Source organism: Homo sapiens, chromosome 1, assembly GCF_000001405.40.
Source record: "Homo sapiens chromosome 1, GRCh38.p14 Primary Assembly".
Taxonomy (NCBI): domain Eukaryota; kingdom Metazoa; phylum Chordata; class Mammalia; order Primates; family Hominidae; genus Homo; species Homo sapiens.
In genome coordinates, this window is record NC_000001.11 from 108,837,265 (window position 1) to 108,856,250 (window position 18,986).

Sequence of the window (18,986 nt, forward strand, 5' to 3'; positions counted from 1 at the left end):
ATTTTCTTATTAATTTGGAAGAAATAGCTCTTCGGTGGTTTAATGGATTTAAACAGCATTGTTACATCCTAAACTATAAAGATGTTTCAAAAATTAACACTTGAAATAGCTTCTAATCTTTAAAAGCTGGTTCCATTTAAAATAATATAATTCATGGGACTTTGGAAAGTTAAATTTTCATGAGATATTAAAAATGGAATTCAGTGAATCCATGAATTAGGAGTCTATAAATGCAAAAACACCATTTTTCCTGGCACAAAATTAGACTGTACATTGCTGTATTACCTCATTTGAGAGTGAAGAGAAGGTGGAGGCCAAGTCATCCAGGGTAACTGGAGAACTCACAGGAAGGGAAGGAGCTGAAGTATATTTGCTTTCATCCATTTTCTCTTTAACATCTTCAAGCAGCATCTCCAATTTGAAGATTTCACCTTCCACTTTTCTAAGTAAACATAAACACACAGGCATCTTCTGGGCTATGTGGTTGGCATTCTAATTAATAATGACAGTTCTTGAATACAGCATTGATTTATATTATTAATGTGGCCTGTCTTCTGTCACAAAGGATAATGGGAGCCCGCATGACTGTTCATAGTTTCTCTGACAGCCTGGGCTCTGATCTTCACCTGCTGTCCATTAGCTGCGTATCCTTGTATAAATCACTTAGTATTTCTGGGCCTCCAATGTCTCACTTATAACCTGGGATAACAATATTGTACCTTACTTATCTGGATTTGATGATTTTGAGATCCCTTACAAGGGATTCTAAGAACTGTGATTCTATGGAATTACTTGTTATGCTAATTTAAAAAGAGGAAGAATATTAGATATCTGAATAATTTAATTAACAAGTTCTAATCCATATGAATATATGTGTATGTGTATATAAATATATATTTTACCCAACAAAGAGAATCCATTTTCTTCAAATCCATTACATTTATAAAAATTTACCTCGTAACAGTCCACAAAGGAAAATTTCAAGAAAATCCAAAATATTAAAAATTATACTACCTACATTCTCTTATCACTAGACATTAACAACAAAAAGATAGCCCCCCCCCCAAAAAAAACCCTGTTTAATTAGAAATTTTAATACCTAAATAGCTTTGGATTAAGTAGGAAATAAAAATGAATGTTAGGCATAACTTACAAGTCAATGACAAATGAGAGAATAACATAGGAAAACCAATGTAATGCAGTTAAAGCAGTACTCTGAGGAAAACTTCTAGTCTTAAATGCATTATTGGGGGAAAAAATCAAAAATCAATCAACTATTTAAAATAGGAAGATAGAAAAGGGAATATAAAATAAACCACAGAAAAGGATTCATAAAATTACTAGAAATAAATGAGACTTAAAAGAATTTGATCAATAAGATAAAACATGTTTTCTTCCAAAATATCTATGAAACAAACCACTGGAAGTCTGAAAAACAAATAACATTAAGAATGAGAAAGGAAAAATAGGAAAAATTTTAAATCAAAAGGCATTGAAAAATCCATATCAACACCATTTAAAATTTAGGTGAACTGGGCAAGTTTCTAGAATAATATAAATTATTAAAATTCACTTTTAAAAAAGTAGAAAATATGAAAAGACCAACAACCAGAGAAAAATGGAAAGTGTTAAAAATCTACTCCATGAAAGGCATGAAGAGTGGGATAATGGGTGAGTTCTACCAAGCCTTTTAAAAAAAATTTCAATGTCTCTAATATGTTAATTTTTATGTATTACATAGTTTAAAATGTAATTTATAACAGTTTGAAAGCATATATTTCAACATATATTTTTAAAGGAGAAATTTAAATCAAGTATATGCAGACCCCGAAGCACGTGTATAGAACCTTGGAGTTCACTAAACATAATTCTACCAAGACTTTTAAGCAACAGATAAGTCCTATATTATTAGACTCTTCCAGAACATGAAAAGAAAAGGGGCCCGGCGCGGTAGTTCACGCCTGTAATCCCAGCACTTTGGAAGGCCGAGGTGGGTGGATCACGAGGTCAGGAGATCAAGACCATACTGGCTAACATGGTGAAACCCCGTCTCTACTAAAAATACAGAAAACTTGGCGGATGCTTGTAGTCTCAGCTACTTGGGAGGCTGAGGCAGGAGAATGGCGTGAAGCCGGGAGGCGGAGCTTGCAGCGAGCCAAGATCGCGCCACTGCACTCCAGCCTGGAGGAGCGAGACTCCGTCTCAATAAAAAAAAAAAGAAAAGGGAAAATTGCCCAACTCATTCTGTGGTTCAACGTTAGTATATTTATTAACATATTCCACTAAATTAATAGATTAAAGGAGAAAAACTAGATTTCTAAATCCCATTTGATTAAACATTTTCTTGAATTAAATAACAACAAAAGCCCTAATTCTAGAAAGCTAGGAATAGAAGAAAACTCTCTTGATGAAGCTTATCTATTTGAATCATACTTAGGAGAGTTCTCATTATTATTAGTAACATGACAAGAATGCTGTCTTTTATGGCTCACGCTGGTAATCCTAACACTTTGGGAGACCACAGTGTGGGAGTATCACTTGAACCCAGGAGTTCGAGACTAGCCTGGAAAACATAGGGAGACCATGTCTCTACAAAAAAAATTTTTTTTAATTAGCTGGGAGTGGTGGCATGCACCTGTAGTCCCTGCTACTCAGGAGGCTGAGGTGGGAGGATCCCAGAGTCCAGGAGTTTGAGGTTGCAATGAGCTATGATTGTGCCACTGCATTCCAGCCTGGACAAGAGTGAGACTTTGTCTGAAAAAAAAAAAAATGCTGTCTTTCACTAATATTAATTATCCAATATTGTTCTGGAAAACCTAGCAAATGAAATAAAGAAAAAGAAATGAGATAGATAAGAATTGGAGAGAAAAGAAAGTACAATACAAATATTCTGGAGTAAAAAGCTTATTAATATTTTCAGATGCTATGGATTGTCATACTTAAAAATTAAGACAATCAACTAAAAAATCAACAAAACACTAAGAAGAGAATTGCATAAGGTAGCCCAGTACAAGTTAAATATACAATATGGAAATACTTCCTATGACATCAATTAGAGAAAACATCTGTCGACAATACTCAGAACACTATAAAATAGCTAGTAATAAACCTAACAAAAAAATGTGTAAAATCTGCATGAAGAAAACGTGATGGGAATACTTACTACAAAGATTTCAGTTCTTCCCAATCTAACCTATAAATTCAATACATTCCTAAGCAAAATCCTCATGAAATTTTATTAAGAACCTTGGTGAGCTGATTATAAAGTTTATTAGTAACATGAGTGTATAAGAATAGCTATAAGAAAATTTTAAAAAGAAGAAACATTTCTAAATATACACTAACCTATAATAGTTTATGTGGATAATGTAGAAATAGACACATAGATCAATGGGATGGAATAGAAACAGTTCTGTATACATGTGGAGGTTTTGTATCTGATATAAGGGGCTTTTTCAACCAGTGGGGAAAGGCTGCCCTATTCAATAAGTGGTGGGACAAAGATCTAAGCATGAAAAAAACAAAGTGATAATTGAATAAAATATAGGAAACTATGTTGGGATCTTGCAGGCAGAAGAGAATGAAACAGGGGACAAGGAGAGACTGAAAGTTTAAAAGAAATGAGCCCGGGTACGGTGGCTCATGCCTGTAATCCCAGCACTTTGGGAGGCCAAGGTGGGCAGATCACTTTAGGTCAGGAGTTCAAGACCAGCCTGGCCAACCCGGTGAAACCCCGTCTTTACTAAAAATATGAAAAAATTAGTCAGGCATGGTGGCATGCACCTTTAATCCCAGCTATTCTGGAGGCTAAGGCAGGAGAATCGCTTGAACCTGGGAGGTGGAGGTTGCAGTGAGCCGAGATCGCGCCACTGCACTCCAGCCTGGGCAACAGAGCAAGACTCCATCTCAAATAATAATAATAGTAATAATAAAAATAATAATAATAAAAGAAATAAAATGATGGAGCAAGGCCTCAAGGAAGTAGAAAGGGATGGGTTCAAGGACCATGGCTAGAGAGGTTGGAGAGCAGACTAAGGAAGGGAGAGGAGGTGAAAACATGGGGATTTGGAGATAGAAGAGACATTTTTGAGGGAAGTTGTGATCTTTTCTTTAAAGCAGAACATAAGATTTTATGCTGAGACTCTCAGGGAGAAGTGGCTGATGAAGGTAGAACCCCATTTCTTGAATTCTTGGCTTCTGAAGTTAATATGTGAAAGAAGCAAATTACTATTGGACTACATTCTGACAAGCAAGATGCATGAAATCCAAGCAAATATTTTTGCACATTACCTTGTAAAGGTAATAATGAGAAGGCTTTAATAAGAGCACAGCAGGTGATGTAAACAAAGGACTAGTCAATGAATTTGCAGAATTCTTGCCCCTCCAGAAAGCCCTCTGCATTAGCCTTTGGACTCAACACTTATAAGGTTCTCGACATATCAAGAACCCAAGGGTTGTATGGGATTCTGTTCCTTGTCACATTATGCCCATTTGAGAACAAGGGGACTATTCTGGAGCTGATCAGTCTTTGCCTGTCCTGAGGTGACTTCAGCCGAGATTTGGGAAAGTCTGGGTCCCTCCCTTGCCCCAGTGTTGAAAGCTTCTCCCATATATGGAATGTAATTGCAGTTGAAGCTCTTTTTATTTATACTCATGCCAGGCACAGTGTGGCTGTAACTAGGATATAAATAAGACATTGAATAACTTTGGTCTTAATGTGCACAGAAACCTGTCTTTAAAATGACTGCCCAAGCAGAAGATTCCTTGGAAAATAAATATCCTTACTCTATTAATTTTAAATAGCAGAAGCATGCAGAGTTCTTTCTTCCTCTCCCCCCAAAAAAAGCCTTTGGGAAAAAAATCAATATTAAAACCTCATCCTTACTGTCTAATTACTCAGTGCTGAAATAAAGGTAGACAGAGGTTCCATTAATTTTGGAAAAGTAAAACCATACCTTGGGGAAAAAAATGCCACAGAACGCTAGGGCTGAAATGTAAACCATTAAAAAATTTGGCAACAACAATTCCATATTAAAATGCTATGAATAGAAAGGGCTAAACTCACAAATATTAAGCCTACTAAATAGTTTCTTTTAATTTATACCAGGAAATTATAGGGAAAGAATCCTCTCCTTGAGTCCTGGAATACAGCTTAAAATTATCTGGAATGGAGAAAGGAGAATACAGTGCCATAAAAACTACCAGTTAGAAACTTCAGTTTGGAGTGTGTGTTCAAGATTCTAATGTGAATTAACTCAGAAATCATTTAACTTTAAGCTTTCACGCTTTTCCTTTATCAGGATTTGTAGGTCCCTCACCCTGACACCAATTAACTTTACAATGACCCCCTCCTGCCCAGTGTGCCTTGGAATTATCAGTGAATGGGAAAGAAAAGGGGAAAGAGAGGGACAGAAGAGAGAACCAGGCAAGGACAATAAAGGCAGGTGTGGGGAGAGATAGATAAGAGAGGAAAAAGCTGAGAGGGAGAGGAGAGGAGGAACTTGAGAAGAGGGCCCTCTGTGGTTATCATGTGAGCCTTTCTAGGGTTTTCTTAGGCTCCTCTGGGTCTCCAAACCAATTATAATGATATTCAACAAATTGCAAAATTTTGGTACAATGCCTCTGCCCCAGGAAGCATTTGTTCATTTTGGGTGTTCCATCTGAGTCAATGTCCAGCACAGCACCTTACACTCAACAGGTCCTCCATGCTGTCTGTGGTATTAGGTGACACTTTGTTCATTGGTGACACAGTTTCTGCTGACCCTAGACCAGTGGCTCTCCAAGCACTAAGCCAGCAGCCACATCAGAATCCCACCTGAAGGAGATCACCTTTGACCCTTCCACCTTACACAGTTGGTTTAAATCTGACCTTTCTGGATCAAAGTCACCAACGATTGTTGATTCGTGCTTGTGGACTTGCTGCTGCAAAGTCAGATGCTTGTCCTTGGTGGCCAGAAAGTTCTGCTCCAGCAGTTCAAGGTGTCCCTGCAGTTTCTCCAGGACCTGCAGCGGTGAAGTCACTGGAATCATTCACATGCAAGCCTGTGTGTGTAATTGTTTTCCCAAAAACACAAAGCAGGTGTACCCTACAGTAGTGTCAAAACAAAGCTGCCATCCTTCTCCCAGCAGCATAAATTGTTTTGTCTCAGAGTCTGACATCTAAACTACAGACAACCCAAGGGTCATCTCAACATTCACAAACCCTCACAGCACACAGCTCAAAAGTACAATTACTTCTGATTTCTCTCTCAGAACCCACTCAGAGGCCTCTGGCCTTCCTTAGTGGGACATTCATAATCCTGTATATTTGCAGAATGGTTTTTAGCTTACAAAGCATTTTTCCATTCCTCATCTTATTTAATCAACACATCAATGTTGTAAATGTAGTAAAGTATATTTTATTATCCCACTTTTACAAAGGAGGAAATTGGAGCTCTAGCAATATGTCTGAAGGCACATAGATCTTAAAAAGGAACTGTAGTTACATGGCCTGGGTTTCAGTCTGTGGGGAGTTGGAGGATGAGATGGGGAAGGAACAGCAGGAAGATTTAGCCAAAGCTGTGAATGGGTCTTCCAGACATCACTACGTGCAGCCTCAAGCAGATGAATGTTTAAACTGTGCGGGTTAGGGGCATGTTGAAGATGTATGGAGGCTTCAGTTCCACATCCCCAGTCACTAAACATTCCCTGAGCACTTTCTATTTCTGGCCCTGGGCCAGAAGTGTGAGATTAAAAAATTGCATCAGGCACAGTTCCTGGTCTTAGAGATGTTATTCCATTGAGAAAAGAGACTGTGGCTTAGAGTACTTAGCCAAAGGCCAGGCACAGTGGCTCATGCCTATAATCCCAGCACTTTGGGAGGCCGAAGTGGGCAGATCATTTTAGGTCATTAGTTCAAGACCGGCCTGACCAACATGGTGAAACCCCATCTCTATTAAAAATACAAAAATTATCCGGGCATGGTGGTGCGTGCCTGTAATCCCAGCTACCTGGGAGGTTGAGGCAGGAAAATCACTTGAGCCCAGGAGGCAGAGGTTGCAGTGAGCCAAGATTGCACCACTGCACTCCAGCCTGGGCAACAGAGCGAGACTCCATCTCTCTCTCTCTCTCTCCATATATATATATATATATATACCAAAGCCAGAGCTCTGGAGTGCATATCTATATATGTATATATAGATATAGATAGATAGAGAGAGAGAGACCTTTGCCAAGGCCCAGTGGAAGGAGTGCAACTTAAATCAGGCATAAAGGATGCTCTGGAGGGCCTGGACCAGGCAGTATCCATGAAAATGGAGAGGAAGGGATGAATTGGACAGAGGTTGCCCAGGACAGAAACATAGCTCGGTGAGGTTACAGGATCAGACACAGCTGGGTGCAAGTTCAGACTCTGTCACTTACTCATTGTATGATTTTAGTAAACTTGAACTCTCTAAGCTTCAGTTTCTACATCTGTAAAATTAAGGTAATACTCCTTGCCTCATATTATAAAAACTAAATGAGATAATGCATTGTGCCAGGACTATAGTACATACTTGACAGATTATTAATTCTTTTTTTTTTTTTTAATTTAAGACAGTCACTCGCTCTGTCACCCAGGCTGGAGTGCAGTGGTGTGATTTCAGCTCACTGTAACTTCTACCTCCCAGGTTCAAGCAATTCTCCTGCCTCAGCCTTCCAAGTAGCTGAGATTACAGGTGTGCACCACCATGCCTGGCTAATTTTTGTATTTTTAGTAGAGATGCGGTTTCACCATGTTGGCCAGGCTGGTCTCAAACTCCTGACCTCAGGTGGTCCACCCACCTTGGCCTCCCAAAGTACTGGGATTACAGGCATGAGCCACCACTCCCAGCCAATTCTTATTAATATTAAAAATGAATAAACAAGAGTTTGGAAACATATTGGCTAAAGGGTAGATAAAAAGCGGCAGGTGTGGCAGATGTTTTACATTTCTCCCCAGGTTCATCCTCTTTCTCTGTGCTGACCTTTAATGGACTGCACCACAGGCTCCCCTGGGCCCTGGCTTTGGTTGGTTTTAGTCGATGGAAGGCAACAGCAGGAGAGAGGAGTTGGAGGATGAGATGGGAGTCTTTTCTTCCTCACCTGTGCCGTCATGGAGTTGACTCTGTCCCTCCACCAAAAGCCACAGGGCTTGTCAGCTAGTCCCACAGTGACAGCTGCTCTCTTTAGGCTCTAGGACCTGCTTTTCCTCTGTTCCTTCAGGCCAAAGGGGAGCTCCCCACGGGTCCTTCCAGGAGATGCTTTTCCATCCCTTATTGGTTTCCCTTAGCCTTGCCCACACTGTTGTAAACTAATGCCTTTGTTAAACTCTCCTCCGTTGCCCCATTTGAGTAACCATCTGGTCCCTGCCAGAACCCTGACTGACACTGTAAATCTCACAGACAATGCTTGAGTTTCTCAGCTTGGGAAGTGAGAAGAATGTGGTAGACCTGACTAAACTGGGGAATTTGGAAAGGCTAACAGGCTCGAAGATATTGATGTTGGACAAGGTAGAGTTTGCAGTGAGGGTGGGATGTCCGAAGTGAAGAGAGACACAAACATTTGGAGCTATAGATGAGAAGTCAGGACAAGTCACTTACGAACTGGAAGCCTGAAGATGGCAGCTGAGGCCATGAGGAAGAATTATGTGTTCAAGGGAAAGAGGGTAATGAGAAAAGAGATAAAAGCTAATCACAAATTATAATTCAGGATCTTGGAATTTAAATTGCATTATGTTGCAGAAGATAGGGCACAATTTCCTAGGCAGAAGTGTGCCTCACTGAATTCTCATAACAACTCTGAAAGGGAAGACATGCTGTAACATGTCTACAGTTGTGTAACCAATAAGTAGAGGCACGACATCCGCTCCAAAATCCAAATGCTTTCTGCTGTGTAGTGCTGCTCAGGCTGAGGCGGTTGCTTGTAGCCCTGTCTGGCTTTTTTCAAGACTGAACCACCTGGGCCTGGAAGTCCCAGACCACAGGCTGATAATGTCAGGAGCCACCTTTACTCTCCTCTCGGTCAGCAGGGATCCTCACATACCTGATAACATCAGGAAGAAACCTCCCGCATCCAGGCTTCCGAAGGCTCCTGACAGAACCAGTTTTCTCTGCTCTGCTCAGCCCTTTAAAATTCTGTGTTCTTCCAATTCCTGAAATCCTAGCTTTCTGGAGATCTTGCTTATCGTTGTTTCTTCCATAATCCCTGCAATCTGGCTTCCAGATCCACCACTTCAATCAAAACCAGGCTTGCCAAAGACCCTTATAACATCTTGATTGCCAAATCCAATGCACTTCTTATTTGGGCCCACTCCCCTCTCCTTCAAACCCCCTTTTCTCTTGGCTTCTCCGCCTCCGCTCCTCCCCAGCTGCCATTTCCCTCGAGTCTCTCCTGGGCCCTCTTCACTTCTCACTCTGTGTATTTTGCCTGGCCCGTCTCATCCACTCCAGCGTCAACTCACAACTATGCCCAAATCTACATTTCTCACCCAAACAGCTCTGCAGGCCAGATCCACTGGTCTAACTGCCTACTGGAGCCCTCTACTTAGATGTCCCAAAGGTAGCTCAAACTCAAAATGCCCCAAACTCAACTTGACGTCTTGCCTCCTGCTTGCCTTCCACACCCATTCTAAACGGGATCCTCTACTTTTATTCCTGACCTTGGTTACCCAAGCCAGAAATCTGGAGCTCATCCAAGCCTCTTCCCTTCCTCTCTTCAGCCCTTTCCATCTGCCACCATTTCCCTAAACCCCCAGATTTGTCCCCATCTCCAGCCTCATTGCCAGCCTTCGTTCAGGCCCTCCTGACTTGTTACCTGGATTCTGGCTTCCGAACCAATCTCTGTGCCTTCAGCCTTGCCCCCATGGTGCTTCCCATTTGTCAGCTTGAAAACCTTCAATGCAGCCAGGTGCAGCGGCTCATGCCTGTAATCCCAGCACTTTGGGAGACCGAGGCAGGTGGATCACCCTGAAGTCAGGAGTTCAAGACCAGCCCAGCCAACATGGTGAAACCCCGTCTCTACTAAAAATACAAAAATTAGCCAGGCACGGTGGTGCACACCTGTAACTCCAGCTACTTGGGAGGCTGAGGCAGGAGAATCACTTGAACTTGGGGAGTGGAAGTTGCAGTGAGCTGAGATCACACCACTGCACTCTAGCATGAGTGACAGAATGAGACCGTGTCTCAAAAAAAAAAAAACAAAAAAAAAAACCTTCAATGCTGCCCAATTACTCAGCCTCAGGCATGGCTTAAAGGCCTTCATGAAGTACCCCTGTCCACCTCCCCTGTCTCCTCCCCCACCCCCATGTCACCACGTGCTCCCAAGTGCTGTATGGTAAATCACAGTGCCCACAGCTCCTCACACTGGCAGCACTTCCTCACCCCTGTGCCATTGCACCTGCTGTTTTCTTTTTCTAGAATACCCCTTGGTCTCCTGCCAAGCTCATCCCTATTCCTTCTGCAACACCCAGCTCAGAAGTGACTTCCAGGAAGCCTTCCAAATGTCCCCTCACTGGCAAAGGTGAGCCTCTTCTAGGCTGCCATTAGCATTCTCTGTAACATTTCTCCAGCTGCATTTTAGCTGCCTGTTTACCAGTCCACTGTTCCTAAGAGACTATAAACCACTTGGAAAAGGAATTGTTTATTCATCTTGAATTCCTAGTGCCTGGTACAGGGTCTGGGACATAGAAAGTGCCTGATAAATGTTTGTTGAATGAATGATTTAATTAACAGGATAAAGGAGAGAATAATCAACTGTGTCTTTTAGCATTTGGGTCCCCTGGTTTTTGTCCATGCTGCTAGGTTTCTGAAGCACAGCCCTCCCTAAACCTTGCTTGTGCCTACATCAGAACTTCTGACCTTATCCCTTGTTGATGAGCCAATGGCCTCAACTACATCTTCAATGTCAGGTCAGCATACTTCTGGTTCTCCCAGCCTTACCCTTCACCCCATTGCTCCACCCCCTTCCCATGATCCTGGCACTGACAACATGACTGCTGTGGTGATGACATAAATTAATGGTTTGATTAAATGCAGCAACTAGCAAGGATATGAAAGGAAAAGATTTTGACCTGAAAAACATTGCTTCAAGGTTGATTTTATGAGTATTCAAAGTCATATTTAATTTCCAGGTAATGGCAATTTTTATAACCTGAATTCACCAGTACCCATCAACTGCGGACAGGCCCACTCTTTATAACTGATTATGGGTTCTTCTCTTGAACCTCCCGTGGTGTCAGATTAATTATGAGTAACCTGGCAAGGAGTAATAGCCATAAGTAATAGATCCCCTGAGAAGGAAAGAGGGCTAAATAGATAGAGAAACAGAATTCTAAGCTCTTTTAGCCCCCATAAACAAAGATGGTTTAATCTTTAGCAAAACATTTCCACTCCCACCACTGTAGAGAAAACATGGCACTATAAAGTTATTTATCTTTATCCAAGCCATATTCTCTAATCAAGATTTTAAAAACGGGATAAAATTCATTACCAGCTTCTTGTCTTGCAAATGGTAAGGAGAGTCCTGTTTTATTCTTTTGGAAAATTCTTGTACCTGCAGTGAAAAAATTACAATCTCTCATTAATGGCATGGTTTCTCATGTGTGAATTTGGTTACTTATATTGTTTATAATAAGCTTTAAAAGTATTACTTTAGTCTTCAGTTGATCAGTCTGTTCTTTCAACTTCTGACACATCTGTTTCCCTTGGGATATCTTTTGAAATATGTAAGAAGAACTTGAGGAAGTGCCTTTCTGAGAGGTTGGTGACAACTTAGAGAGACTTGCCTCAGATTCTATTCCTATACAAGAAAGAACACATTTGGGCTACCATTCATCTCAACTTATCACAGTTTTATTAAGTACTGAAAACAGAAAGCTGTTGCAGTCACCACCACTTACTATTTTTAAAATTTAATTTTTTTCAAAATATTTATCTAGGCCAGGCACAGTGGCTCACACCTGTAATCCCAGCACTTTGGGAGGCCAAAGCGGGGGGATCACTTGAAGCCAGGAGTTCAAGACCATCCTCAGCAACAAAGTGAGACCCCACATCTACAAAAAAAAAAAATTATCTAGGTGTGGTGGCATGCACCTGTAATCCCAGCTACTCGGGAGGATGAGGTGGGAGGATCATTTGAGCCCCAGAGGTCAAGGCTGCAATGAACCAAGATTGTGCTGCTGCACTCCAGCCTGGGTGACAGAGTGAGACCCTGTCTCAAAAAGACAAAAACAAAACATATATATATATCTCAAAGAAGTTTTAAAACATTAGTACCTGTGAGAAGTTCTTGGTGGATATGTACTATGGGCTCCATCTGCACAATTAAAGGGTAAGAAAACGTTACTGTCGATATTGATCAATGACACCACCGTTCAGAATGACCCAACATGTTCTGTCATCATAGAGGGAGCCCAGGTTTGCAGTCAAGAGCCGGAGCCATGATGCCAAGGTTGAATTCCACTCTGACACTTACTTGCTGGGCAACCCAAGTAATTGTCTCATCACTTATAAGCCTGCAATTCTTTGGCAGGAAAATGGGGATAGTAAGTGAACCTGCCTCAGGGGGTTGTTATGAGGATGAAATGTTAAATATCTACCATAGTATCAGGCAGGTGGTAAGCATGTAACAATACATGTTACCTGTTATCACCATTGTGTTTGATACTGGTATGTGAAATGCTGAAACATTTCTCCTAAAACTAGACTATAAGTTTCACAAGGGTAGGGACCATGGCTGGTCTTGTCACCAGCTCTGTTGCTGGTGCTGTCACTAACACAAAACTCATGGTAGCCACACTCTAGAGAATAACAGAGGATGCATTAAGTTCCAAACTGTGTGTCAAGATAGTGATGGTTTTCTACTCACCACTGGCTAATTGAACAGTTTAAATTCCAGAGTGATTCACCTTGTGGGGTCTTTCCTTTGTTCCCAACACATAAAGCTCAGAAACACGCTAGTGCTGGAGAGCTGGTCAAAATGGACTATGGTCTTTCTAGACATCTCAACTATATGACGGATATGAAACCTGCAGTGTCCAATTCTCCAATCTGAATTGACAGAACTGGAAAAAATCAGATACCTGACCTCGAACCCCCATACCAGAGGGAGAAGAGCCTGATATCCATCTGCTCCTGCTAACCACGGGGCACTGAGAACTGGACACAATGAGGATGTTCTCCTGCAAGCAGAACAAGGAACCCCGACACTTCCCAATACCACGGGGGTGTAGGTTTCTCTCAGACCTAGAGAGCATCCCAGTCATGGCCAGGTGGGCTGTTGGCTCAGGTTTGGATGTAGGGGGTTCTGCTCAAACTCCCCAGGCATTCAGTTGAAAGAGAGGGGAGCTGAAGTGTGAAAATGGAAATGGAAATTAAAAAAAAGAGAGAGAGAGAAAAATCACTTCCAAGGTTAGGTTACAGAAAAAGAGAGAGAATGGAAATGGAAACAGGCAGTGTGGTTCAGTCCAGGACACCTTCATATAAGGCTCAAAGGAAAGATCATGCACTCTAGGCAAAGTGCCCAAGAACTAAAATGTATATTTTGATTATTAAGATGGATTTACCTTACTATTGGGCCTCAAACATCAATGAGATCCTGAGCCTCAGCATGTTGAGAAGTTGGTGGGGGAGTGTGAGAAGTTGGCGTAAGGGAAAGGGGGAATAGCATAAATTAAGCATTAACAAAGTTTTGTACCAAATGATTACCAAGATAACAAGCTTGAAATCCATTACTAACGATCTTAATTCCATTGGACTTAGCATGAATAACTAAGGGCATAACGTACGTTAAGACACGAGGCCAGGCCTCTGGGGGAAATTAGGCAATGGAAAGGCGAAGATAAGGTTGCTGCCCTCCAGAGCCTTAGAATCTAGTGGAGGAAGCAGATGCTTCTGCTATTAAGATCCAAAGCAGGCTGAGATACACACTCTGATGGAACGACTAAACAAGTGTGGAAAAGGTTGTGACTTAGGAGACCTGAAAAGTTATGTGGCCCAAGGGGGAATTGAAGGAGGCCATGAAAACAAGCAGGTCTTTGGCAAGTCAAGATGGGATGTGCCACGCAAGGCAGGAACTCAGAGAGCTCAGGGCCTGGGAAGAGGTTCTGGACCAGCCAGGTAACTGCAGATGACTCCTGAAGGAAGGCAGCTAAGTTTAAGTGAGGAGAGCCAAATTCCGGCTTGCGGAATTTGGATTTTATTCTCTTATATGTTTTTGTCAGTGTAGCCTGTGATGCTTCTCGTGAGGACACTGAGAGTCGGAGTGGCCACGTCACTCATCCAGGGTGACCCAGGGTGCTGAATGAAACTTTGGAACTAGAACCAAGCTCTATTCACCCTCCAAAAACCCACACTGAAAGAGATAAGCAGTGGTCCCAATTAATGTGTTTACAGGAGACTGTTTCATTTACCTGGATTTGTTGTGAAGGTTCAGTGATTTTCCCTTTCTGCTCTTGATGTTGTTTTTCAACACAGTTTGACTCAGGCGTGGTTTCTAGACTATCTTGCACAAGAGTGGGTTTATCTCTCGACTTGGAAGAAAAGCTGGCTTGTTTAGCTATTGCAAGTGGTTTATTAATTATCTTATTTTTAGGAATTTTCACTTTGGGAGCAATCTTAGAGAAATCAGGGAGCTGGTAATGAACTTGACCTTGGCCGTATTTGAACGTGTTGCCTGAATTTGCTTTTTCAGTCTGCTGTTTCTGGGGTGACTGCCCTTGATAACTTTTTTGTTTATCACCTGGACCCTTGGTTTTAGTTAGAACATTCACATTTTCTTGATGGCTGCTATCTCCAGCAGCCACTGGCCCTTCTAAATCAGAGGTATTTTCCTCTGTCGTGGTGGCAGAACCAGGCTTATTGCTGTTTTCACCATCCCTTTTCGGGTTGAGTTGGTCAGTGAGTTCTGGGGTTTGTTCTTTTGGCCAAGAATTCTTATTATAACATGAAATAATACTTTTAATAATAGCTTCCTCTTCAAAACTGTCGGCATTTGAGATCTCTGGGAGGGTTTCACAATCAATGCCTTGACCTCTTAAGAATGGCTCTTTGGAAAGATGATGAAGTAAAATATCAGAAATGCTTGACTTAGAAGCGTCTCCTTCATTTGCTGGAATATGAAGAGCTGCAGTGCATTGTTTCTCTTTCTCGTCTTTTTTGTTGGCAGCATTTTCAGTAATTTTACCCAGGGGTATGGTCACAGCTGTATTTCCACAAGTCTCACTATGCATAGCCTTCTCTTGAGGGTCATCTGCTATGAAAATAATTTGATTTAAGACTTCAAGGCCATCCTTTTTTGAGGTAAAACTGTAATCATTGCCTATCTTAATCTGAGAGAGGTCCCCATCATAAGGCAAATCCTCCTGCTTATAAGTCGTGTGTTCTGAAAAATCAGCCTCATCCATGTGTGTGCAGCCCGATCGCTCTCGTCCTCTGCCTCCTGAGCTGGCTGCTGTCAGTTGTAACAATAGCTCTGGTTCTCACTGACTGTCTTCACTGTGTGCTATTCTGTGTGAAATGAGAACAGCCTCATTGTTAAATATATTGGAATAATGTATACAACTATGCCAGAACAAAGTGGATGTTTTTTTAATTTGAAAAATTCAGTTACAAACAGGAAGGCAGGAAGCTCAACCACAAGCTGACCCAACCTCAATCCACACTATGTTAACACAATCAGTAGAATAACAGCAAGGAATGGGGGAAAAAAAAAAAGAGAGTGTTACATTTTTCATTTATTAAATTTTGAGGATGACATTAGTCTACAGTTAATGGCCAAATACTTATCAACCTCCCTTAGGAGATAGTATTTGGAGTTTATTCTCCCAAAGTAGGAACTTGGGATGCAAGTAAAGGATTGATTTTTTTTCTTTTTTCTTTTTTTTTTTTTGAGACGGAGTCTCGCTCTGTCGCCCAGGCTGGAGTGCGGTGACACAATCTCGGCTCACTGCAAGCTCCACCTCCCAGGTTCACCCCATTCTCCTGCCTCAGCCTCCCGAGCAGCCGGGACTACAGGTGCCCGCCACCACGCCCAGCTAATTTTTTGTATTTTTAGTAGAGATGGGGTTTCACCATATTAGCCAGGATGGTCTTCATCTCCTGACCTCGTGATCCACCCGCCTTGGCCTCCCAAAGTGCTGGGATTACAGGCGTGAGCCACCGCGCCCGGCCTGATTTTTTTTTTAACTACCAGAGCCACGCCTTGTCCACGTGTCACTGACAGTCTTCTAAGCCATGTGGCGATGGAAGCTGGCCTAGCTCACATGTAACACCCACCTTCTCCATTCTGGTGCCTTTTCACCTGTCCCTCCAGACCTTCTGGTCCCCTTCTCCTGACTTTCCCTTGCATGTCTGAGAAGGGCAGAGAAGGACTTACAGAAATATGACCAAGGGGCCGGGCACGGTGCCTCACACCTGTAATCCCAGCACTTTGGGAGGCTGAGGCAAGCGGATCACCTGAGGTCAGGAGTTCGAGACCAGCCTGGCCAACATGGCGAAACCCCCATCTGTACTAAAAATACAAAAAGTTAGTCAGGTGTAGTGGCAAGCACCTGTAGTCCCAGCTACTTGGGAGGCTGAGGCAGGAGCATCGCTTGAACCTGGGAGGCAGAGGTTGCAGTGAGCCGAGATCAAGCCACTGCACTCCAGCCTAGGTGACAGAGAGAGACCCCGTCTCAAAAAAAGAAAAAAAAAGAAATGTGACCAAGGGACAAATAGGCTTTCAAACACCTGGAGGCCAGTCTGCAGCCAAATGTCCCTTTTCTAATTTGGACTCAGGCAGGAACCTAGTCAGAGAGGCTGCCTTCCCTGAACAACCCCTGCCAGCCACCACAGCCCAGGCGGCGGTCTGGTGGTACCAGACTCTTTGGGGATATTCCTGAAAATGGCTGGAGTAAAACCAGCTGCCATTTGGTATGAGTCCTATTTTCTCTTTTTTAAACAAAATTTAAAGCACCCATTCAGATATCTCTTCCTGATTTGTGAACTTTTGGGATGATTCCTCAGAAGTAGTAATCTCAAGTTTTAAGTAGAGTAACTGAGATTCCCTCTCCCCTGGAGCACCAGCCCAGGGTGACCACAGCTGCTGGCAGCCTCCCTTGCCCATACAATGATTATGTTGGGTGAGCAGATCTCTGAGGTTCTCTCTCCAACCAAATTTTTATGAGTCTATAAGCTGGTGATTTATTAGGTAACCTCAAAAGCTAAAATCATATGTTTGACCAAAATAAATTTTTTTGAACTAAGTCGTCCAAGAAAAAAAGGAGTACAAACTAAATGTGGTAAAAGCATCTGTGAGACATTGTACAAAAATCTTAATTTATAGACACATGCCAATGTTAGAGAACCCAAATTAAACAGATGCTCTGTTTAGAGAGGTGGAGAGAAAGGAGAATATCACTGCAGGATTATTTTAAATCATTTAAAGAGGGTAACATTTAGTATAAAGTGAGGCATGTCTTCATGAGAAGAATTACAGGCTATTCTAATCCAAGTTGAAGAACAAGGGAAAAGGCTTCCCAAGAAAGTGAAAGGCACAGTGGGAAAGCAGAAGTGGAGAGGCATGGATCTGAATACTCTGGCTTCTCTGCTTTCTAGCTGTGTGTCATCTGGCAAGTTATTTAACTCTTGTGAGTCTCGGTTGCCTTTTCTGAGAAATAGGACTAGCAATACCTGAAATAAGGCACTAAAGTACTCGGCATAGGGCTTGGCACAGAGTAAGAATTCCATACATTGTTGTTGAAAAATGAAAAAACAAAACCAGTCTCAGTATTGGAATACTGAAGAATGCCCAGGTCCAGAGGTGAGGCACTCCTTATCCGTGGGGATATTTAAAGGATAAAGGAAGGAATTGCATATGTAAAACATAATCTCGTCCAAGCAAGGTGGCTCATGCCTGTAATCCCAGCACTTTGGGCGGCCGAGGCAGGTGGATCACGAGGTCAAGAGATGGAGGCCATCCTGGCCAACATGGTGAAACCCCGTCTCTACTAAAAATACAAAAAATTAGCTGGGCGTGGTGGCGCACACCTGTAGTCCCAGCTAGTCAGGAGGCTGAGGCAGGAGAATCACTTGAACCCGGGAGGCAGAGGTTGCAGTGAGCCAAGATCGCGCCACTGCACTCCAGCCTGGCGATAGAGTGAAACTCCGTCTCAAAACAAAAAAGACATAATCTCTACAAGAACTTTAAGACAATTTTAAAACTCAATCTGTAAATAAATATATTTGAAGGTAAAAAAAAAAATCAGGCTGGATGAGGTGGCTCATGCCTGTAATCCCAGCACTTTGGGAGGCTGAGGCAGGTGGATCACTTGAGCTCAGTAGTTCAAGACCAGCCTGGCCAATGTGGCAAAACCCATTTCTACTAAAAATACAAAAATTAGTTGGGCATGGTGGTGCATCCCTATAGTCCCAGCTACTTGGGAGGCTGAGGCAGGAGAATCACTTGAACCCGGGAGGCAGAGGTTGCAGTGAGCCGAGATCATGCCGCTGTACTCCAGCCTGAGCAACAGCAAGACTCTGTCTCAAAAAAATAAAAAATAATAAATAAATAAATAAATCACTAAGCAAGTTTAAACAAAATATTGTCTAATTTTTTAGAACAAAAAAAAACAGAGTATCTTTTTTTTTTTTTTTTTAGACAAGGTCTCACTCTATCACCCAGGCTGGAGTGTAGTGACAACACCATGGCTCAACTGATCTTCCTCCCTTAGCCTCCTGAGTAGCTGGGACTACAGGCGCACACCACCACACCTGACTAATTTTTAATTTTTTTTTTAGAGATGGAGTTTCACCATGTTATTCAGGACGGTCTCGAACTCCTGAGCACAAGTAATCCACCTGCCTCAGCCTCCCAAAGTGCTGGGATTACAGACATGAGCCACTGTGCCTGGCCTGAGAGTATGTTTAAATGCCTACAGAGAGAATGGAAGAAGAAGAAAACAAATTCTAGTTTTGCAAGACTTTTAATGACCCAAGTATCAGTCCCAAAGT

At 42.2% G+C, this 18,986-nt stretch overlaps 1 protein-coding gene across 2 annotated transcripts in view, besides 1 other annotated feature; it reads right to left on the minus strand.

The window, feature by feature from the left end:
* AKNAD1 (AKNA domain containing 1) overlaps positions 1 to 18,986 on the minus strand; it is a 42,344-nt gene that overhangs the window by 21,364 nt on the left and 1,994 nt on the right. For both annotated transcript variants that reach the window (NR_049760.2, NM_152763.5), the window contains 6 exons: positions 14,408 to 15,503; positions 12,273 to 12,312; positions 11,648 to 11,796; positions 11,488 to 11,550; positions 5,870 to 6,003; positions 286 to 442 (listed from right to left, as the gene is read on the minus strand). Coding sequence is in view for 1 of the 2 variants with exons in the window: in NM_152763.5 (NP_689976.2) it covers positions 286 to 442; positions 5,870 to 6,003; positions 11,488 to 11,550; positions 11,648 to 11,796; positions 12,273 to 12,312; positions 14,408 to 15,400 (1,536 nt within the window). In the remaining variant the exon portion in view is untranslated. The remainder of the gene's footprint in view (positions 1 to 285; positions 443 to 5,869; positions 6,004 to 11,487; positions 11,551 to 11,647; positions 11,797 to 12,272; positions 12,313 to 14,407; positions 15,504 to 18,986) is intronic.
* Positions 8,883 to 9,177: a silencer, noted in NCBI's record as "tiled region #12963; K562 Repressive DNase matched - State 8:EnhW". NCBI's record gives its function as "represses a minimal TATA promoter and a strong SV40 promoter by Sharpr-MPRA in K562 cells {active_cell/tissue: K562}" and the evidence as "EXISTENCE:reporter gene assay evidence [ECO:0000049][PMID:27701403]".